The sequence below is a fragment of the Homo sapiens genome, chromosome 1, assembly GCF_000001405.40.
Source record: "Homo sapiens chromosome 1, GRCh38.p14 Primary Assembly".
Taxonomy (NCBI): domain Eukaryota; kingdom Metazoa; phylum Chordata; class Mammalia; order Primates; family Hominidae; genus Homo; species Homo sapiens.
Window position 1 is genome coordinate 41,067,277 of NC_000001.11, and position 18,163 is coordinate 41,085,439.

Consider the following 18,163-nt stretch of genomic DNA (forward strand, 5'->3'; position numbering starts at 1 on the left):
TACTAAAAATACAAAAAATTAGTCGGGTGTGGTGGCGGGCGCCTGTGGTCCCAGGTACTCGGAAGGCTGAGGCAGGAGAATGGCGTGAACCTGGGAGGTGAAGGTTGCAGTGAGCTGAGATCGCGCCACTGCACTTCAGCCTGGGCGACAGAGCAAGACTCCATCTCAACAACAACAACAACAAAAAAAAAAAAAAAAAAAAAAAGAGCTATCAAGACATGAAAATACATGGAATAAATTTAAATGCATAATACTAAGTGAAAGAAGCCAATCTGAAAAGGTGGCATACTGTATGATTTCAACTATGTGACATTCTGGAAAAGACAAATCTATGGAGACAATAAACAGATCAGTGGTTGCCAGGGATTAGTGGGGAGGGAGGATGAATAGGCAGAGACCAGAGGGTTTTTAGGGCAGTGAAACTATTTTGTATTATACATGATGGTGGATATATGTCATTATACATTTGTCAAAACCCACAGAACGTAAAACACCAAGAGTAAACCCAAATGCAAACTATGGACATGGGTGATAATAACGAGTCAATGTAAATTCATCAATTCTAAGAAATGTACCACTCTGGTGGAGGATGTTGATGAATGGGAGACAATGTATGTGTAGGGGCAGCAAGTATATAGGAAATCTCTGTATCTACCACTCAATTTTGCTGTGAATCTAAAACTGCTCTAAAAAATAAAAGTCTATTAAAAAATTTCAAAGAACAACAAAAAGAGCTCTTGATAAACAAGATGCAAATCTCCAACCACGGGGAAGTAGAGTATAAGCATTTCCTAAATGTATATAACTAAATTTCCTAAACGTGTGTAAAATCCTTTTATGGAGAGCATTTTGCAGGTCTGGTGTTTCTACCAAACAGACTTTGGAAAATGCCACTGGAGTACTAAATAATTATAATTTAAAAAGCAAGATGGCAAAAATGAAAAACTCAATACAAAGTTTGGAAGATATAGTTGAGGAAAACTTGATGAAAGTTGACCAAAAGGCAAAGAATAGGGGTAAGAACAGAGATACGACTATTACAGAACCAGGTCAAGAGATTCAAAAACTGAATAAACAGGTATGACGGGAGTGAATAGAGAAAAAGAAGTGAAAGAAAATAATTGATTAAAGAATTTTTTTTTCTTTTGAGAGAGAGTCTCACACTATCACCTAGGCTGGAGTGCACTGGTACGATCTTGGCTCACTGCAAACTCCACCTCCTCGGCTCAAGCAGTTCTCATGCCACAGCCTCCTGAGTAGCTGGGACTACAGGCATGTGCCACCATGCCTGGCTAATTTTTGTATTTTTGGTAGAGAAGGGGTTTTGCCATGTTGATCAGGCTGGTCTTGAATTCCTGGCCTCAAGTAATCCGTCCGTCTTGGCCTCCTAAAGTGCTGGGATTACAGGCGTGAGCCACCATGCTCAGCTCATTTTTAAAAATTTTATAAAATAAAAGTGTCCAGTATGGTAGGTGAAAATATATCCAAAGTGAAATTTTAGGGTACTGGGAATTAAGAGAAATTTCCAAGAGAATGAAGAGATTTCATACAAAACTAAATATGTAAATCTAAGAATGATGTACAGAAAACAAAGACCTTGGAAAGAGCAAACAGAGACCCTCACCAAAAAAGAGAGGTGAACAGAATCTCAAGAAACTAAGAAGGCTCCAGGAGAGATTTCTTCTAGAGTATGACATGGATAGAATATATAATGTACTTGGACATAAAGAGAGATGTACACAGTAGGAAGAGAGTTTAAGGTTGAATTAATAATAAGTACACAGAAAAATAAACACAAAACAAGGAAATCAACAAGATTTCCCCTGAAAATGAAATGTTGAGCAACAAAGGAAAAGTAATCACGGTATACTACATGGCTCAATTGAGAACAGCATTTAACTAGTTATAATAACAAAACACTGAATTTTGATCTAATTAAAATTATAATATCATGGAGTTGGGGTAGGGAAATATGTGTGGGTGGATAAGGGGCAAGGAGATTAAGAAGAGTTAAATTCTCATCTTCTAGAGTGGGTAGTCATTAGAAAAATAACTAAAAAAGACAGCAATATAGACATGCTATTTAGATACAGAGGTAAATAAAAACGTCAGTTAAATTGAAAGTGATTGCCCCTGGGGAATAGTAATTGACAGGGGGATACGAGGTATGTTTGTTTTGTTTTTGTAATAAGTTGTGTAGACCCTTCATTCCTTTAAACTATGAATGTGTATAACTGACACAAATCAAAATACCTTTTAAAAAGTTCTCTACAGTTAAAAAAATGAAAAGTAGGTAAAAGATAAATGTGGCACATCACATTCAGTCTGTGATAGCTTTTATTGTTAACATTTGAAGGGACTATAAAGGTTATTTGGACTAATCCTATCATTGTATAGATTATAAACTGAGGCTCAGACAGGGAAGTGATATCAAAGTCACACAAAGTGAATCAAGGCCCACTCAAGAGATGGCGACACAATGGTCAATGAAGACTATTACAGCCTGACCATGGCAGGTTCTCTCATCTTCTATCGGTTATGGGAAACTATGTCTGAGCCTTCCCTTCAGGCTCCTACATTCTAGGATTTGATTAGAGACATAATCAACTCCTTCTAAGAGAAAGACAACCCTAACTTCCATGGGGATCATGCCAATTGCTTAAGACTTCCTAGAAGAAGATGGAGTGTCTGCTGAGTAACAGAATAGGGTTTCACACATTTATCTTAACTTACACATTAAAAAATGAGTATTTTTCTTTATAGTTACCCCCTTGGAAGGCTGTGTATCTGCGCACAGTTCTTTTAGTTACTGTCATAGACAGTTTATGAAATGGGAACAGATATGCATAACCCAGGATGATTACCCACCCATTTCATCCACCAGATTTTGCAATAAGTCAACCTTACTTTCATTGTACCAAAGTTTGTCACCATCAATGATTGTTAAAAAAAAAAAATCAGAGAAATTTCATACATATTTTAAGGGTGGCACCATTACTGAAATGCTGGGAGGATTCTGGAAGGTGGAAGGGATCACTCAGAAGGAACACCCCTAACTGGGAAGGAAGGCTATTATTCTAAACTAGGCCAGGGAGCTCTTGGTGCTATCCCTGCATTAGTTCCCCATCCCTGAGTTCACAGAAAATTTACCTAAGTTTGATTGTCTGACATTATTTCAAATGCCAAAGATAAAATTTTTTAAAAATATTTTACCTAGGTTTACAAGTGGAAAGGTGCTAATTACTGGTGTAAGACAAAAGAAAGTGCAAACACTAGGTCTGGGGCTTGTGCGCAGGTAGTCCTGTCATCTGCTCTTACCTGTTGGGGCCTGCATGGCTGAGCTGGGGATGGTGGCAGCATCCTGGGGTACAGTGCTGGTATCCGGTTCAGGAGTGCTGGTTGTTGGTGAGGCAGGTGGTGGGTTCAGCAAAGTCCGAGGTTTCCTCTGTCAAAATGAATGGGAAAAAAATTGCTACCCATGACAGGTCTTTTCATTCCCTATTCTTGGCACTTAATTCACTCATGAAGCAAAAATATATTTATGGATGGAATAGTGTTTTATCTTTGTTCTCTACACAGCATCTGGCTTAAAGCTATACATATACCTGTAGTAGATGCTTAGTAGACATTTTCTGAATCTATATACAAGCCTCTGGTCTTTTTTAGGGTCAAAGCTTAATTTATTATCTTTTATACTAGATTCAATATTATCATATGAAGTTTCAGATCCCTTATTAGTTGGGCAGACAAAAGCAAAATATGCCATAGTTTAAGTCTGCTTTGACATTACTTTGTACTTTATTTCTCTCTTTAAAAATGGAAACAAACAAAAAAAAATAGAAATGACCCTTCTAACTCTACAAACAACTTTACTCTGTCTGCCTCTCTCTTCACCTCATTACCTGCCATTCCCTTAAATCTCCTATTCTACTAAATCTCTATTGCTTCTTTAAAAACTTGCACTTTTACCTGGTCCACACCTTTACAATGATAAGATGTCTCTTTCACTTGAAATGCTCTCTTTTTAAATTTATTTTACAAATTTGTTTATCTAGGAAGCTTTTCTAGTTTTTCTCTAATCATTGTCTCTTTTATGTTACCTCTGTTTTTTGAACTGTTGCATTTGTCAACGTATTGTCATGATATGTTTACATACCAGTATCCCTATTCACCTGGAAATCTTTGAAAGTCTGGTTCTAAGTACCATTCTTAGCATGGTACTTAGCATAAAATAAGTGTAAATAAATTTTTTTAATGAAGCATGCAGTATAGAATAATAGAGGAAATAATAAAGCTGATTTGAGAGAAATCTATTATTTCCCCTACACTGTTCAGGGCAGTTTTTGGGGGAGAAAGATCTCAGGTGTTTTTCTAAGAAATAGTTTCCTAAAAGCCTTTTTTTTTGAGACAGAGTCTTGCTCTGTTATCCAGGCTGGCATGCAGTGGCATGGTTCTGGTTCACTGCGACCTCCACCTCCCAGGCTCAAGCGATCCTCCCACCTCAGCCTCCTGAGTAACTGGGACTACAGGTGTGTGCCAGCACACATGGCTTACTTTTAAATTTTTTGTAGAGATGAGGTCTCATTATATTGCCAAGGCTGGTCTCGAACTTCTCCTGCTCAAGCGATCCTCCTACCTTGGCCTCCCAAAGTGTTGGGATTATAGGCAGGAGCCACCACGTCTGGCTAAAAGCCTTTCTGAATGCAAGGAGAACATAACCATCACAGAGATCCAAAAATCCACTTTTACTAAATGCTTCATGTAGGGATAACTGCTGGGAGCCATATCAACCTGTCTGCCTTCTAGGAGTATGTTCTCTAAAGAGATAGCCCTGATGACAGCAGGCATATATAAGATGGCTTTGCCTGTGAAAGCAATCATGCAAACTCTCATGAAGCATTCAAAACACACATTGAAAGTGAACATCTGCTCATGCTTTTTTACTGCTAAAAGTGAAAATCCAAATACGTAATGAATGAGTCAGGGAAGAAGGGAAATACCACTTCAACTTCAATGAGTTGGTGGTAGGATTTCACAGGGTTCCTAAAGGAAGAAGCCTGGTAAGTTAGGTGCCTGAATAATGTAAACCTATTTGAGATAGGTACATGTACAATATTATATGTATTCATACATTATCTCATTTCCATTTTACAGGTGAGAAAATGGGCTCAGGGCTTTATCCAGAGAAGCCTTCCCAAAGTCACACAGGTGGTAACATATGGAGATAAGATCTAAACCTGTTTGTCTGACTTTAAAGCTTATGCTCTATCCACAAGACTACTCTGCTTCAAAAAGAGATATAAAGCCAGCCATGGTGGCTCACACTTGTAATCCCAGCACTATGGGAGGTCTAGGTGGGAAAATTGCTTGGGCCCAGGAGTTTGAGACCAGCCTGGGCAACATAGCAAGGCCCCATGTCTACAAAAGTTTTTTTTAAAAATTAGCTGGGCATAGTGGCACATGCCTATAGTCCCAGCTACTTGGGAGGCTGAGGTGGGAGGATCGCTTGAGCCCAGGAGGTCAAGGCTGCAGTAAACAATGATTGTGCCACTGCACTCAGCCTGGGTCACAGAGTGAGACCCTGCCTCAAAAATCAAAGCAAAACAAACAAAAAGGGATATAAGGCTCACAGGTGAAGTGGAAGGCATATACACTTGTAGGGGTAGGCAAAAGAGCACGAAGGAGAATTAAGAGTATCAAATGCTAGGACATAAAACACAGGAAAAGATGAGAATGACTGCTTTCAAGAAGGCTGGAAAGAAAAAGGACTTTGGTTACTACGTTCAAGACTTCCTGAGGGAGCAGAGCAGAGGCAATCACAGAATCAGTTTTTGAGTTTTGAATGATCTTAAAGGCCATTTAACCCAACCATCTACCCAATACTTCTAATTCCCTCTCCCTAAAAGATCCCTCCTATAGTCATCCAGTCCCTGATGAAACACCTCTAGTTATAGGGGCTCATTACTTCCATTTTGGGATAGATTTAACTGTTCCTTTTATGTTGAGACAAAGCTTCTCTGCTTGAGTTTCCATTTATTGGTTCTGGTTCTATCTTTGGAGTCCCCCAGATAAGTTTTCTCCCTCTTCTGACTGTCCTCAAGATGTCTTCACATCATCAAAAGCATGGCTTCTCTGGCCTTGGCATCCTTAGGGCCTTCAGCCTCTCCTCTACAACATGAGAATGAGAGGTGGGTAATGAAGGCAAAAATGAATTAGGAGCTGGGTTAGTGGTAACAGATCAAGAGGAGTATTACGTGTTACACAGGAAGATCAGGAGGTGATACTGAGAATTCGAAGCCAAAAATAAGAGACAACTGAGATTGGTAACATCATCACTAAAATCATCCATCCATCCATCCATCCATCCATCCATCCATCCATCCTTCCATCCATGTACCCACCCACCTACCCTCCTACCCATCTTGCATATTCTGAATATTTCCCAAGAGACTGAGATATAAGGTACCACAGGAGAAAAAAAAAGAAGAAAAAGATTAGGTTCTTGACCTTGAGGAGCTTATATTGTACAAGGACTGAAGTCAGTGAAAGCTAATAAACAAGCAAAACAAACCAACAGACAAACAAACTAACCCTAGGGAGGAATTAATGAGATTGGGATGGAGGAATTAATGAGATTGGGATAGAATGCCCAGGGAGAACTGGGTATCATCTCCATACTGGAACTCAGGTATTCTTGTTCAGGCAGGAGATTCATCAGAGAAATCTCCCAACAGTTAAGAAATGAGGGGAGGAGGTGATGCTAAAAGGGGCCCTAGAGAAGCTGCTGACAGAAGTCTTTTTTTTTTTTTTTTTTTATATCAATGCCTTCCTTAGGGAAGATACCCATGAAAAACAGGCCATGACTAAGAGGTAGTACTTTCAGTAACAGTGCTCAGTGAAGGTGACTCAGCTGTCTTTTCCAATACTAGAATACTAGAAGTGTTGTGTCCCTCAGGAAATGTGGGAAAGACTGAAAGAGTGAATATATGCTAGGGAAGCAGTGACCTTGGAAGTAGATCTAAGGGCCAATCTCTGTAGCTTTTGCCATTTACTAGCCATGTGATCTTAGAAAAATCATTTTACATCTGTAAGTCTCAATTTACTATAAAATAACATTAACACTATTTATCTCTTAGGGTTTTGTGAAAATCATGGGATATGTATGTATTGGTGTTTAATACAGTCTGACACTTAGTAGGTATTCAATTTTTTTTAAAGAAGAGGTAGAGATAGCAAAATATATATTTACATTCAACCTGAAAAAGCTGATTAAAAGAAAAAAAAAACATTTACAGAGTTAATTTGTGCTTTCTGTCTACACGCTGGACATCTACTTTGGAAAGGTTAACAAAGAGCAGTTTCTTCCATGTACACTAGACCAGAATCTCCTCAAATATGAGTGACTTTCAAAGTTAAAATTTGTTTCCTATCCTCCCCAATTCTATCTTTAATATTACCAACTCTCAGGTAAGTAGCAAGTAGGGATGACGGTCTAGGAAATTCCTCTTATAAGATACACAAGATAGAGAAGAGGGCCAGATGTGCCCCTTTCCAAGAGAGATGGGTATGGATGAATGACCGCCCCCAACCCTGCCTTTTCTTTTGAGACGGAGTCTCGCTCTGTCACCCAGGCTGCAGTGCAGTGGCACGATCTCCGCTCACTGCAAGCTCCACCTCCCGGGTTCACGTCATTCTCCTGCCTCAGCCTCCCGAGTAGCTGGGACTACAGGCGCCCACCACCACGCCTGGTTAATTTTTTGTATTTTTAGTAGAGATGGGGTTTCATCGTGTTAGCCAGGATGGTCTCGATCTCCTGACCTCATGATCCGCCCGCCTCGGCCTCCCATTAAGTGCTGGGATTACAGGCGTGAGCCACGGCGCCTGGCCGAATGACCCCTTTATAAACCCTTATTCCTTTCTGGGAAACCCACATTTTACCTACCTTGCTGCCAGGTTTGGGACCTCTCTTCTTTGGGAATTTCAAAGGTTCAGCTGTCTTGGATGGGGCAGAGATGGGATGGGAAATTAGGGTCTTGGGTGTCCGGCCCCGCTTCTTTCCTGGTTTACGCCCCCTCTGCCCTGGTTGATGTTCCAAGACAGTTTTGGTGCTGCTGTGGATGCTGGGCTTCTCAGTATTCACATCGGAGGCAGGATAGGGATTCTTTGGAATCACAACTGCAAGAAAAAGACTCATTCTATCACCCTCCCTCCCCCCTGCATTCTCATCCCAGCCAGAAGAAAAAAAGGACTTGCCACTTCTGCTCAGGTAGTTTTGTTCCAAGAAGCTGGTTTCCTGGCATTTGACCTAAATGTTAAGGAAATCTCTGAAGAAGACTGAATTTAGATTGGCTGGAATTGGAGGTTTTAAATTATTTCTGGCAGATGCAGAAAAAATATTAAATTTTTCTTCCTAAGGCACCTTAGACAAATATTGTGACCTAAGTCAAAGGTGAAGTATATAAATATTAATAGAATCATAGGCTCAGAGTTGAAAGGGCTCTTAGAAACCTGTAATTCTGTCCTGCTAAGAATGAAGGTCTGAGGCTCAGAACAAGACACAATGCCCTCCGCAGGTTACATAGTGAGTTGGGATAAGAACTTGTTTTAAAATTGAGCCCTGATAACCATGCCAGGGATTTTCTACATCAATCTACTTGAAGTTTTAGTTTGACTATTGCAGTGAGGAGTAGAGGAACATGTGGAAATATAAATCTGATAGCATCTCTCCTTAAAAATCTTTGCTCTTAAAAACCTTTATTCCTTATTACCTTTAAGGTAAGGTCTAAATTCTTTAACCTGATTTCTAAGGACTTTTTTGACTCTGCCCATCTTGCTCTCCCATTATGACTGATGTCATTTCCTATCATCCAACCCCATGTTCTAGTAGCCCTTATATGTTGAGCTCTCTATTACTCTTTGTCAGACACATATCAATACTCAGTTTTCAACACTGGATCCAGGGCCACCTCCTTATTGAGGACTTCTCTGACCATGTCCCAACTAGGTCAGTGTCCTCTCTTTACTCCCAAAGCATTCTGTAGACATCTATGTTACAGTACTTCTTAATTTTACTCCAATTATTCATTTTTTCCTTAAACTGAGAATTTTTTGAGGTAAGGGATATCTAAGACATCCTACAAATAGTGAGAACTTACTATAAGTTATACACTGTACTAAGCTCTGGGGATAGAACTGTGAACAAACCAGACTTCCACTCTCATGGAGCTTACCTCCTAGTGAGAGAGAAAGAAAATTAAAAAAATAACACAATATACGGTATAATGTCAGGTAGTGCTAAGTGCTGTGATTAAAATTAATGCAGGGTAAGGAAACAAAATTTTAAGGGAAGTCCTCTTTGAGGAGATGACATTTACACAGAGCTCCCGAAAGAGGTAAAGGCACAATGCCTTATGAAGATGTGAGAGGGTATAACAACAAGTGCAAAGAGTCTGAGACAGGAACATGTTAGTGTGTTTGAGAAATTGGAAAGGAGGTCAGTAGAGCTGTAACTGAGTGAGCAAAGGGGAGGGTAGAGAGAAATTAGGTTAGAGAGTGAGTAGCAGTAAAATTGTGTAGGACTGCAGCCTGTGAAAATGAACTGAACTTATTCTAAATATAAAGGGAAGCCACTAGAGGGTTTTGAGCAGGGGAGGGACAAGATATACTTAGAAGGACCACTCTGACTGCTTTGTGAGAGGGACGAGAGTAGAATTAGGGAGACCAGTTAATAAACTATTATATAGGGCAGGTAGAAGATAATACTTCCTAGGCCTCCAGGTAGGAAGTGATAGTTGTGGTAGTACAATGTTAACGATGCAACAACTAGAAAAAGTCAGAGTAATTATTTAAAAAGACACCACAGAGCTGTCATGAGGAAGACACCACAGAGCTGTCATGAGGATTAGATGAACTGGAATTCCAAGGGGTGGCCTCTGAGGTAGCTGATACTGTTTTCTTTCCTGAGGGCATCTGCTAATTTTGGCATAAACTAAGGATCAGGCTTGGCATGTGGTGAGGGGCTCTACTGGAGGAAAGAGAAATGAGAGCTGCTGCGACAAACTGGAAACTTAAGGAGCCCCTGCATGTGGCCAGTTTTTCTCATTGGGTATCTGCTGAATTTTGGGCCAGCACATTGGAACTTCAAAGCTAGACTGAGAGCTTTTAAAAGGCAGAATAAAATCTCCTATAATCTTGTGGTTTTAGGAGATAAGGTTCCACTAGAAGTAGGTAGTATACCCCAAATACATGGCTGATCTCCTCTTAAAGATATTTTAAAACTATAAGGGGTGAGAGGTAATAAAACTAAGCCCCAGACCTCTCAAGGGTAGGACAATCTCCTGCAGTGTTTCAGGGCTAAGGAGCTAGAAATTAGGTTCCCAACCAAGAGCCCAAGAGGGTCCGTGTCCAAAAAACAAGCATAAACCATAGGCACAATCCAGATGTGGTCTAACTCAATCCAGAATTAGATTGAGGTGATCAGGCCCTATCCTATTTAGTCTAGCAGAGGAAAGGAAGAATTCTTTCTCATGGAAGATACCAGTTGGAGCCTCAATAGTTCTTTTAATATAAAACGTTTGGCATACTACAAAAATTATTAGACATAACAGAGTCAAAACAGTGTGATCAGTAATCAAGAGAAAATACAGGCAATAGAAAGAGACCCATATATTATCCAAATAATGGAACAAACAAACAGATTTTTTAAAAATCATAATTAAAATGTTAAAATGTAAAAAAGATGAACAAAATATAAGAAAAGGTAGATAGTACCCACAGAAATATCTATATAAAAAACTAAATGGACATCTTATAACTAAAAAATACAATATTAGGAATAACTCATTGCATGGGTTTAAGGACAGACAAGAGCCAATAGAAAGGATTAATAAACTTGATGAAAAAATAGAAAACATCCAAAATAAAGTACAGTGAGAAAATATGAAAAAATATATTAGAGCATTAGAGATTAAGTAGACACAGTCAATAGGTCCAAAATATGAGTGGCTGCAATCCCACAGGGAGAAGACAGATAGAATGAAGAAAAAGCAATATATGAAAAGGTAACAGCGGAGACTTAATCTCTAACTAATGAAAGACATCAACCCACAGATTCAGGATGCTTATGGATTCAGCAATCCATAGCAGGAAAAATACAAAGAAAACGATACCAAAACACATAATTGTCAAACTGCTGAAAATACAAAAGATGAAATACAGATGAAATAAAAGACAGGGAGGAAATACAAAGATATATTTTAAAAAGCAGTCAGAGAGAAAAACAGCATTACCGGAGCAACAATAAGAGTGATAGCAGGCTCTTTAATAAAACTGTGTAAGCAAGAAGAAGTAGAATAGTATCCTTAAAGGGCTAAAAGAAACAGACTACCAAAGATAGAATTATACACCCAGTGAAAATATCCTTCAGAAATAAAGGTAAAATAATGAGATTTTCAAATAATCAAAGTTGAGAGAATCTGTCACCAGCAGACCTAACTATGGAAAATGAAAAGGAAGTTCTTCAGGCTGAAGGACATTCCAAATGGAAACATGAAACTACAGGAAGGATGAAGAACACGAGAAAGGGTAAACATGTGAGTTGATACAAAAGGATACTGATTATTTAAAACAATAATAAAAATGGCTTGTGCCGTTTATAATATATGTATTAATAAGTTATGTGACAGTAATAGCACAGAGGATGAAAGTGGAGAGTAAATGGAGCCAAACTTTGTTAAGAATTTTGCATTATTTGGGAGTAGTTAGAGCACTTATTTAAGGTAGATTTTAATAAGTCCAATATGCATATTTGCATACGGCAATTAATTAAAGAATTATCAGGGATAAGAATGCATTACTAAAAAGCTAAGGGGAGAGAAGTAGAATAATAAAACATACTTGATTAATCCAAAAGAAGGCAAGAAAGGAGGAATAAAGAAATAAGGAAGAACTTGGACAAATAGAAAACAAAAAAGCAAAATGCAAAATGTTGACTTAAACCCAAATAAATAATTTTATTAAAGAAGGGTGGATTAAGTAAAACAGTCAGTAGGAATAAATGAACAAACCAGACCAAAAAAAACCCCCAGAACTCAATTATATTTGTTTATAAGAGGGCCCTGAGATACAAAGACACTCAAAATATAAAAACACAGGAAGAGAAAAGCAAACAGATGAAAATAATGTACTCTATAAACACTAACCAAAAGAAAACTAATAACATGAATAACCAATTAACCAACCAACCTAACTGATACATATACCTAATAAATATAGAATACGCAGAGACAATTTCATCATAGATCCATCAGACATTGGGTAGAGAACAGGACAGTATGAATAACTTTATGCCAATTAAATATGAAAATTGAGATAAAATGTCACTCAAGACCAGCCTGGGCAACACTGTGAGACCCCATCTCTACAAAAACAAATTAGTTGAGCATGGTGTGTGCCTGTAGCCCTAGCTACTCAAGAGGATCGCTTGAGCCCAGGTCGAGGTTGCAGTGAGCTATATCACACCACTGCACTTCAGCCTGGATTACAGGCTCTATCTCTTATCTCTAATGCTCTAAATTTTTTTTGTATTTTCTCACTGTACTTTATTTTGGATATTTTCTATTTTTTCATCAAGTTTATTACTCCTTTCTGTTGGCTCTTGTCTGCCCTTAAACCCATGCAATGAGTTATTCCTAATACTGTATTTTTTAGGTATAAGATGTCCATTTAATTTTTTATATAGATATTTCTGTGGGTACTATTTTTTCTTACACTTTGTTCATCTTTTTTACATTTTAACATTTTAATTATGATTTTTAAAAAATCTGTTTGTTTGTTCCATTATTTACATAATATATGAGTCTCTCTCTTAAAACACAAAACAAAGCAAAAATACCACTGACACAAGAAAAAAACAGAATATGAAGAGCCTCATACATAATAAAAAATTGCAATTGCAATTAAAAATCTTTCCACAAAGAAAATCCCAGGCCTAAACTGGCTTCACTGATGAATTCTAGCAAATATTTAAAGAAGAAATAATAACAAATCTTGCAAAGCCTCTTTTGAAAAATAGAAGAGGGAACACTTCCCATTTCATTTTATAAGGCCAGCATAACCCTCATACCAAAACATGACAAAGATAGTTACAAGAAAAAAAAACTATAGACTAATATCCCTCATGAACATACATCCAAAATCTTTAACAAAGTATTTGTAAATTAAATCTAGGTCTCTCTCTATATGTATATCAGATATACAATCCTATATATATCATATCATAACATGCAGGATAATATATCATAACTAAGTGGGATTTATTTCAGAAATACAAAGGTTAACAATGGAAAATACAATCCGCTGAACACATACATTCACTAAATGAAAGAGAAAACCTATATATCATCTCAACAGATGAAGAAAAAGCATTTGACAAAATTCAACATCCATTCATGATAAAAATTATCAATAAACTAGGAATAAAAGAGAATTTCCTTAGTCTAGATAAACGCATCTATAAAAAACCTATAATCAACAGCATTCTTAATGGTGAAATATTGAACACTTCTTATTGAATTATGGGATAAAACAAAATAACTACTATCACCACTTCTATTCGACATTGTATTGGAGGTCAATGCAATAAGGAAAGGAAAAGAAATAAAATCTATAAATACAGACTGTAAGGGAAGAAGCATTACTTGTACGTGACATGATTGTTTACATAAATATTCCTCCTTACAAGTCTACAAAATCTATTAAAATAAAAAAATGAATTTGGAAAGGTCACTAGATACAAATCTAATATTTAAAAATCTAATGTATTTCTCTAAATAGCAACAATTTGAAAATTATTTAAAAATCCACAAAATCAAATAACATCAAGTATTCAGTGAAAGATGGGCAAGACATCTACACTGAAAACTATAAAATATTGATAGGGGAAATTAAAGAAGATCTAGATATCACATGGCCATGAAGGGATATGTTACATTCATAGATTGAAAGCATCACCACTGTTAGGTGTCAACTCTCATCAAACTGATCTAGAGTCAATGCAATTCCAATAGAAATCTCAGCAGTTTCTAAAAAATGTGTGGTGTATGTATGCAAATTGACAATTTAATTCTAAATTTTAATAGGAAATGCAAAGGACCTATAGTAGCCAAGTCAATCTTGATGAATAACAGCAAAGCTGGAGAACATGCATCATCAAATAGCAAGATTCATTATAAAGTTACAGTAATTGACACATATATTATTTGTTGGGCATGGTGTTTCATGCCTGTAACCCCAGCACTCTGGGAGACTGAGGCAGGAGGATTGCTTGAGGCCAGGAGTTTGAAACCAGCCTTGCAACATAGCATGACCCAGTCTCTACAAAAATTTTTTAAAAAATTAGCTGGGCATGGTGGTGCACACCTGTAGTCCCAGTGACTCTGGAGGCTGAGGTGGGAGGATTACTTAAGCCCTGGAAGTCATGGCTGCACTGAACCATGATGGTGTCACTGCACTCTAGTCTAGGTGACAGAATAAGACTCTGTCTTAAAAAAAAAAAGACATATATTATTGGTGCAAGGGTAGATGAATGAATCAACAGAGCAAAATAGAGAGTTCCAAAATTAACTACACATATATAGTCATCTGATTTATGATAAATGTGCCCTTGCAATTCTGTGGAGAGAAAAAATGGTCTTTTCAATAAAACTGTGGTGAGTCAAATAGGTATCCATATGGAAAAAAATTAAACTTGAGTTCTATTTCACACCAGATACAAAAATTAATGTGAAGGCTAAAACATCAAATTTCTAGAAGACAAATGAGAATACCTTCAAAACTATGGGGGCGGCCAAAGATTTATTAAAACAGGACACAAAAAGCACTAATTATCAAAGAGTGAAGATATATATGGCCTCATTAAAACAAAATATTTCTCTTAATCAAAGGACATTAAGAAAATGAAAAAAAGCAACTCCAAGACACATAATTGTCAGATTCACCAAAGTTGAAATGAAGGAAAAAATGTTAAGGGCAGCTAGAGAGAAAGGTCGGGTTACCCACAAAGGGAAGCCCATCAGACTAACAGCGGATCTCTCGGCAGAAACTCCACAAGCCAGAAGAGAGTGGGGGCCAATATTCAACATTCTTAAAGAAAAGAATTTTCAACCCAGGATTTCATATCCAGACAAACTAAGCTTCATAAGTGAAGGAGAAATAAAATACTTTACAGACAAGCAAATGCTAAGAGATTTTGTCACCACCAGGCCTGTCCTAAAAGAGCTCCTGAAGGAAGCACTAAACATGGAAAGGAACAACTGGTACCAGCCACTGCAAAAACATGCCAAAAACATGCCAAACAGCATCATCCTGATACCAAAGCCGGGCAGAGACACAACAAAAAAAGAGAATTTTAGACCAATATCCTTGATGAACATTGATGCGAAAATCCTCAATAAAATACTGGCAAACCGAATCCAGCAGCACATCAAAAAGCTTATCCACCATGATCAAGTGGGCTTCATCCCTGGGATGCAAGGCTGGTTCAATATACACAAATCAATAAATGTAATCCAGCATATAAACAGAACCATCGACAAAAACCACATGATTATCTCAATAGATGCAGAAAAGGCCTTTGACAAAATTCAACAACTCTTCATGCTAAAAACTCTCAATAAATTAGGTATTGATGGGACATATCTCAAAATAGTAAGAGCTATCTATGACAAACCCACAGCCAATATCATACTGAATGGGCCAACACTGGAAGCATTCCCTTTGAAAACTGGCACAAGACAGGGATGCCCTCTCTTACCACTCCTATTCAACATAGTGTTGGAAGTTCTGGCCAGGGCAATTAGGCAGGAGAAGGAAATAAAGGGTATTTAATTAGGAAAAGAGGAAGTCAAATTGTCCCTGTTTGCAGAGGACATGATTGTATATCTAGAAAACCCCATTGTCTCAGCCCAAAATCTCCTTAAGCTGATAAGCAACTTCACCAAAGTCTCAGGTTACAAAATCAATGTACAAAAATCACAAACATTCTTATAAACCAGTATCAGACAAACAGAGAGCCAAATCATGAGTGAACTCCCATTCACAATTGCTTCAAAGAGAATAAAATACCTAGGAATCCAACTTACAAGGGAAGTGAAGGACCTCTTCAAGGAGAACTACAAACCACTGCTCAATGAAATAAAAGAGGACACAAACAAATGGAAGAACATTCCATGCTCATGGGTAGGTAGAATCAATATCATGAAAATGGCCATACTGCCCAAGGTAATTTATAGATTCAATGCCATCTCCAACAAGCTACCAATGACTTTCTTCACAGAATTGGAAAAAACTACTTTAAACTTCATATGGAACCAAAAAAGAGCCCGCATCGCCAAGTCAATCCTAAGCCAAAAGAACAAAGCTGGAGGCATCACGCTACCTGACTTCAAACAATACTACAAGGCTACAGTAACCAAAACAGCATGGTACTGGTACCAAAACAGAGATATAGATCAATGGAACAGAACAGAGCCCTCAGAAATAACACCGCATATCTACACCTATCTGATCTTTGACAAACCTGAGAAAAACAAGCAATGGGGAAAGGATTCCCTATTTAATAAATGGTGCTGGGAAAACTGGCTGGCCGTATGTAGAAAGCTGAAACTGGATCCCTTCCTTACACCTTATACAAAAATTAATTCAAGATGGATTAAAGACTTAAACGTTAGACCTAAAACCATAAAAACCCTAGAAGAAATCCTAGGCATTACCATTCAGGACACAGGCATGGGCAAGGACTTCATGTCTAAAACACCAAAAGCAATGGCAACAAAAGCCAAAATTGACAAGTGGGATCAAATTAAACTAAAGAGCTTCTGCACAGCAAAAGAGACTACCATCAGAGTGAACAGGCAACCTACAAAATGGGAGAAAATTTTCGCAACCTATTCATCTGACAAAGGGCTAATATTCAGAATCTACAATGAACTTAAACAAATTTACAAGAAAAAGACAAACAACCCCATCAAAAAGTGGGCGAAGGACATGAACAGACCCTTCTCAAAAGAAGACATTTATGCAGCCAAAAAATACATGAAAAAATGCTCACCATCACTGGCCATCAGAGAAATGCAAATCAAAACCACAATGAGATACCATCTCACACCAGTTAGAATGGCGATCATTAAAAAGTCAGGAAATAACAGGTGCTGGGGAGGATGTGGAGAAATAGGAACACTTTTACACTGTTGGTGGTACGGTAAACTAGTTCAACCCTTGTGGAAGTCAGTGTGGCGATTCCTCAGGGATCTAGAACTAGAAATACCATTTGACCCAGCCATCCCATTACTGGGTATATACCCAAAGGACTATAAATCATGCTGCTATAAAGACACATGCACACGTATGTTTACTGCAGCACTATTCATAATAGCAAAGACTTGGAACCAACCCAAATGTCCATCAATGATAGACTGGATTAAGAAAATGTGGCACATATACACCATGGAATACTATGCAGCCATAAAAAATGATGAGTTCATATCCTTTGTAGGGACATGGATGAAATTGGAAATCATCATTCTCAGTAAACTATCGCAAGAACAAAAAACCAAACACTGCATATTCTCACTCATAGGTGGGAATTGAAGAATGAGAACACATGGACACAGGAAGGGGAATATCACACTCTGGGGACTGTTGTGGGGTGGGGGAGGGGGGAGGGATAGCTTTAGGAGATATACCTAATGCTAAATGACGAGTTAGTGGGTGCAGCACACCAGCATGGCACATGTATACATATGTAACTAACCTGCACATTGTGCACATGTACCCTAAAACTTAAAGTATAATAATAATAATAAATAAAATAAAATAAAAAACAAGAAAAAGCAAAAAAAGAAAAAGAGTTAAGAGACTACCACGAACAAGTTGGGTCTATACTATAAATGCAAAGATAATTCAATATTAGGAAATCAATCAACAGACCTTATTAATAGGTCTAAGAAAAAAAATTATGTGATGACTCTATTAATGCTGGAAAGGTTTTTGACAAAATTAAGCACTCAAGAAAATATAAATAGTTTGCTATGTGATTAACATGATAATACATATATGCCAAAATCCTAAAGGAAACATCTTACTGGAGAAACACAAGAGGTATTCC

The 18,163-nt window shown here is 37.7% G+C and overlaps 1 protein-coding gene across 42 annotated transcripts in view; it reads right to left on the bottom strand.

The window, feature by feature from the left end:
• Positions 1-18,163, bottom strand: part of SCMH1 (Scm polycomb group protein homolog 1) — a 215,105-nt gene that overhangs the window by 40,075 nt on the left and 156,867 nt on the right. For 39 of the 42 annotated variants that reach the window (NR_135092.2, XR_946584.3, XR_007096354.1 and 36 more), the window contains 2 exons: positions 7,943-8,175; positions 3,319-3,445 (listed from right to left, as the gene is read on the bottom strand). The exons of the other annotated variants lie outside the window; for them this stretch is intronic. Coding sequence is in view for 32 of the 39 variants with exons in the window: in NM_001172222.3 (NP_001165693.1) it covers positions 3,319-3,445; positions 7,943-8,175 (360 nt within the window). In the remaining 7 variants the exon portion in view is untranslated. The remainder of the gene's footprint in view (positions 1-3,318; positions 3,446-7,942; positions 8,176-18,163) is intronic. 42 annotated transcript variants of the gene reach the window in all.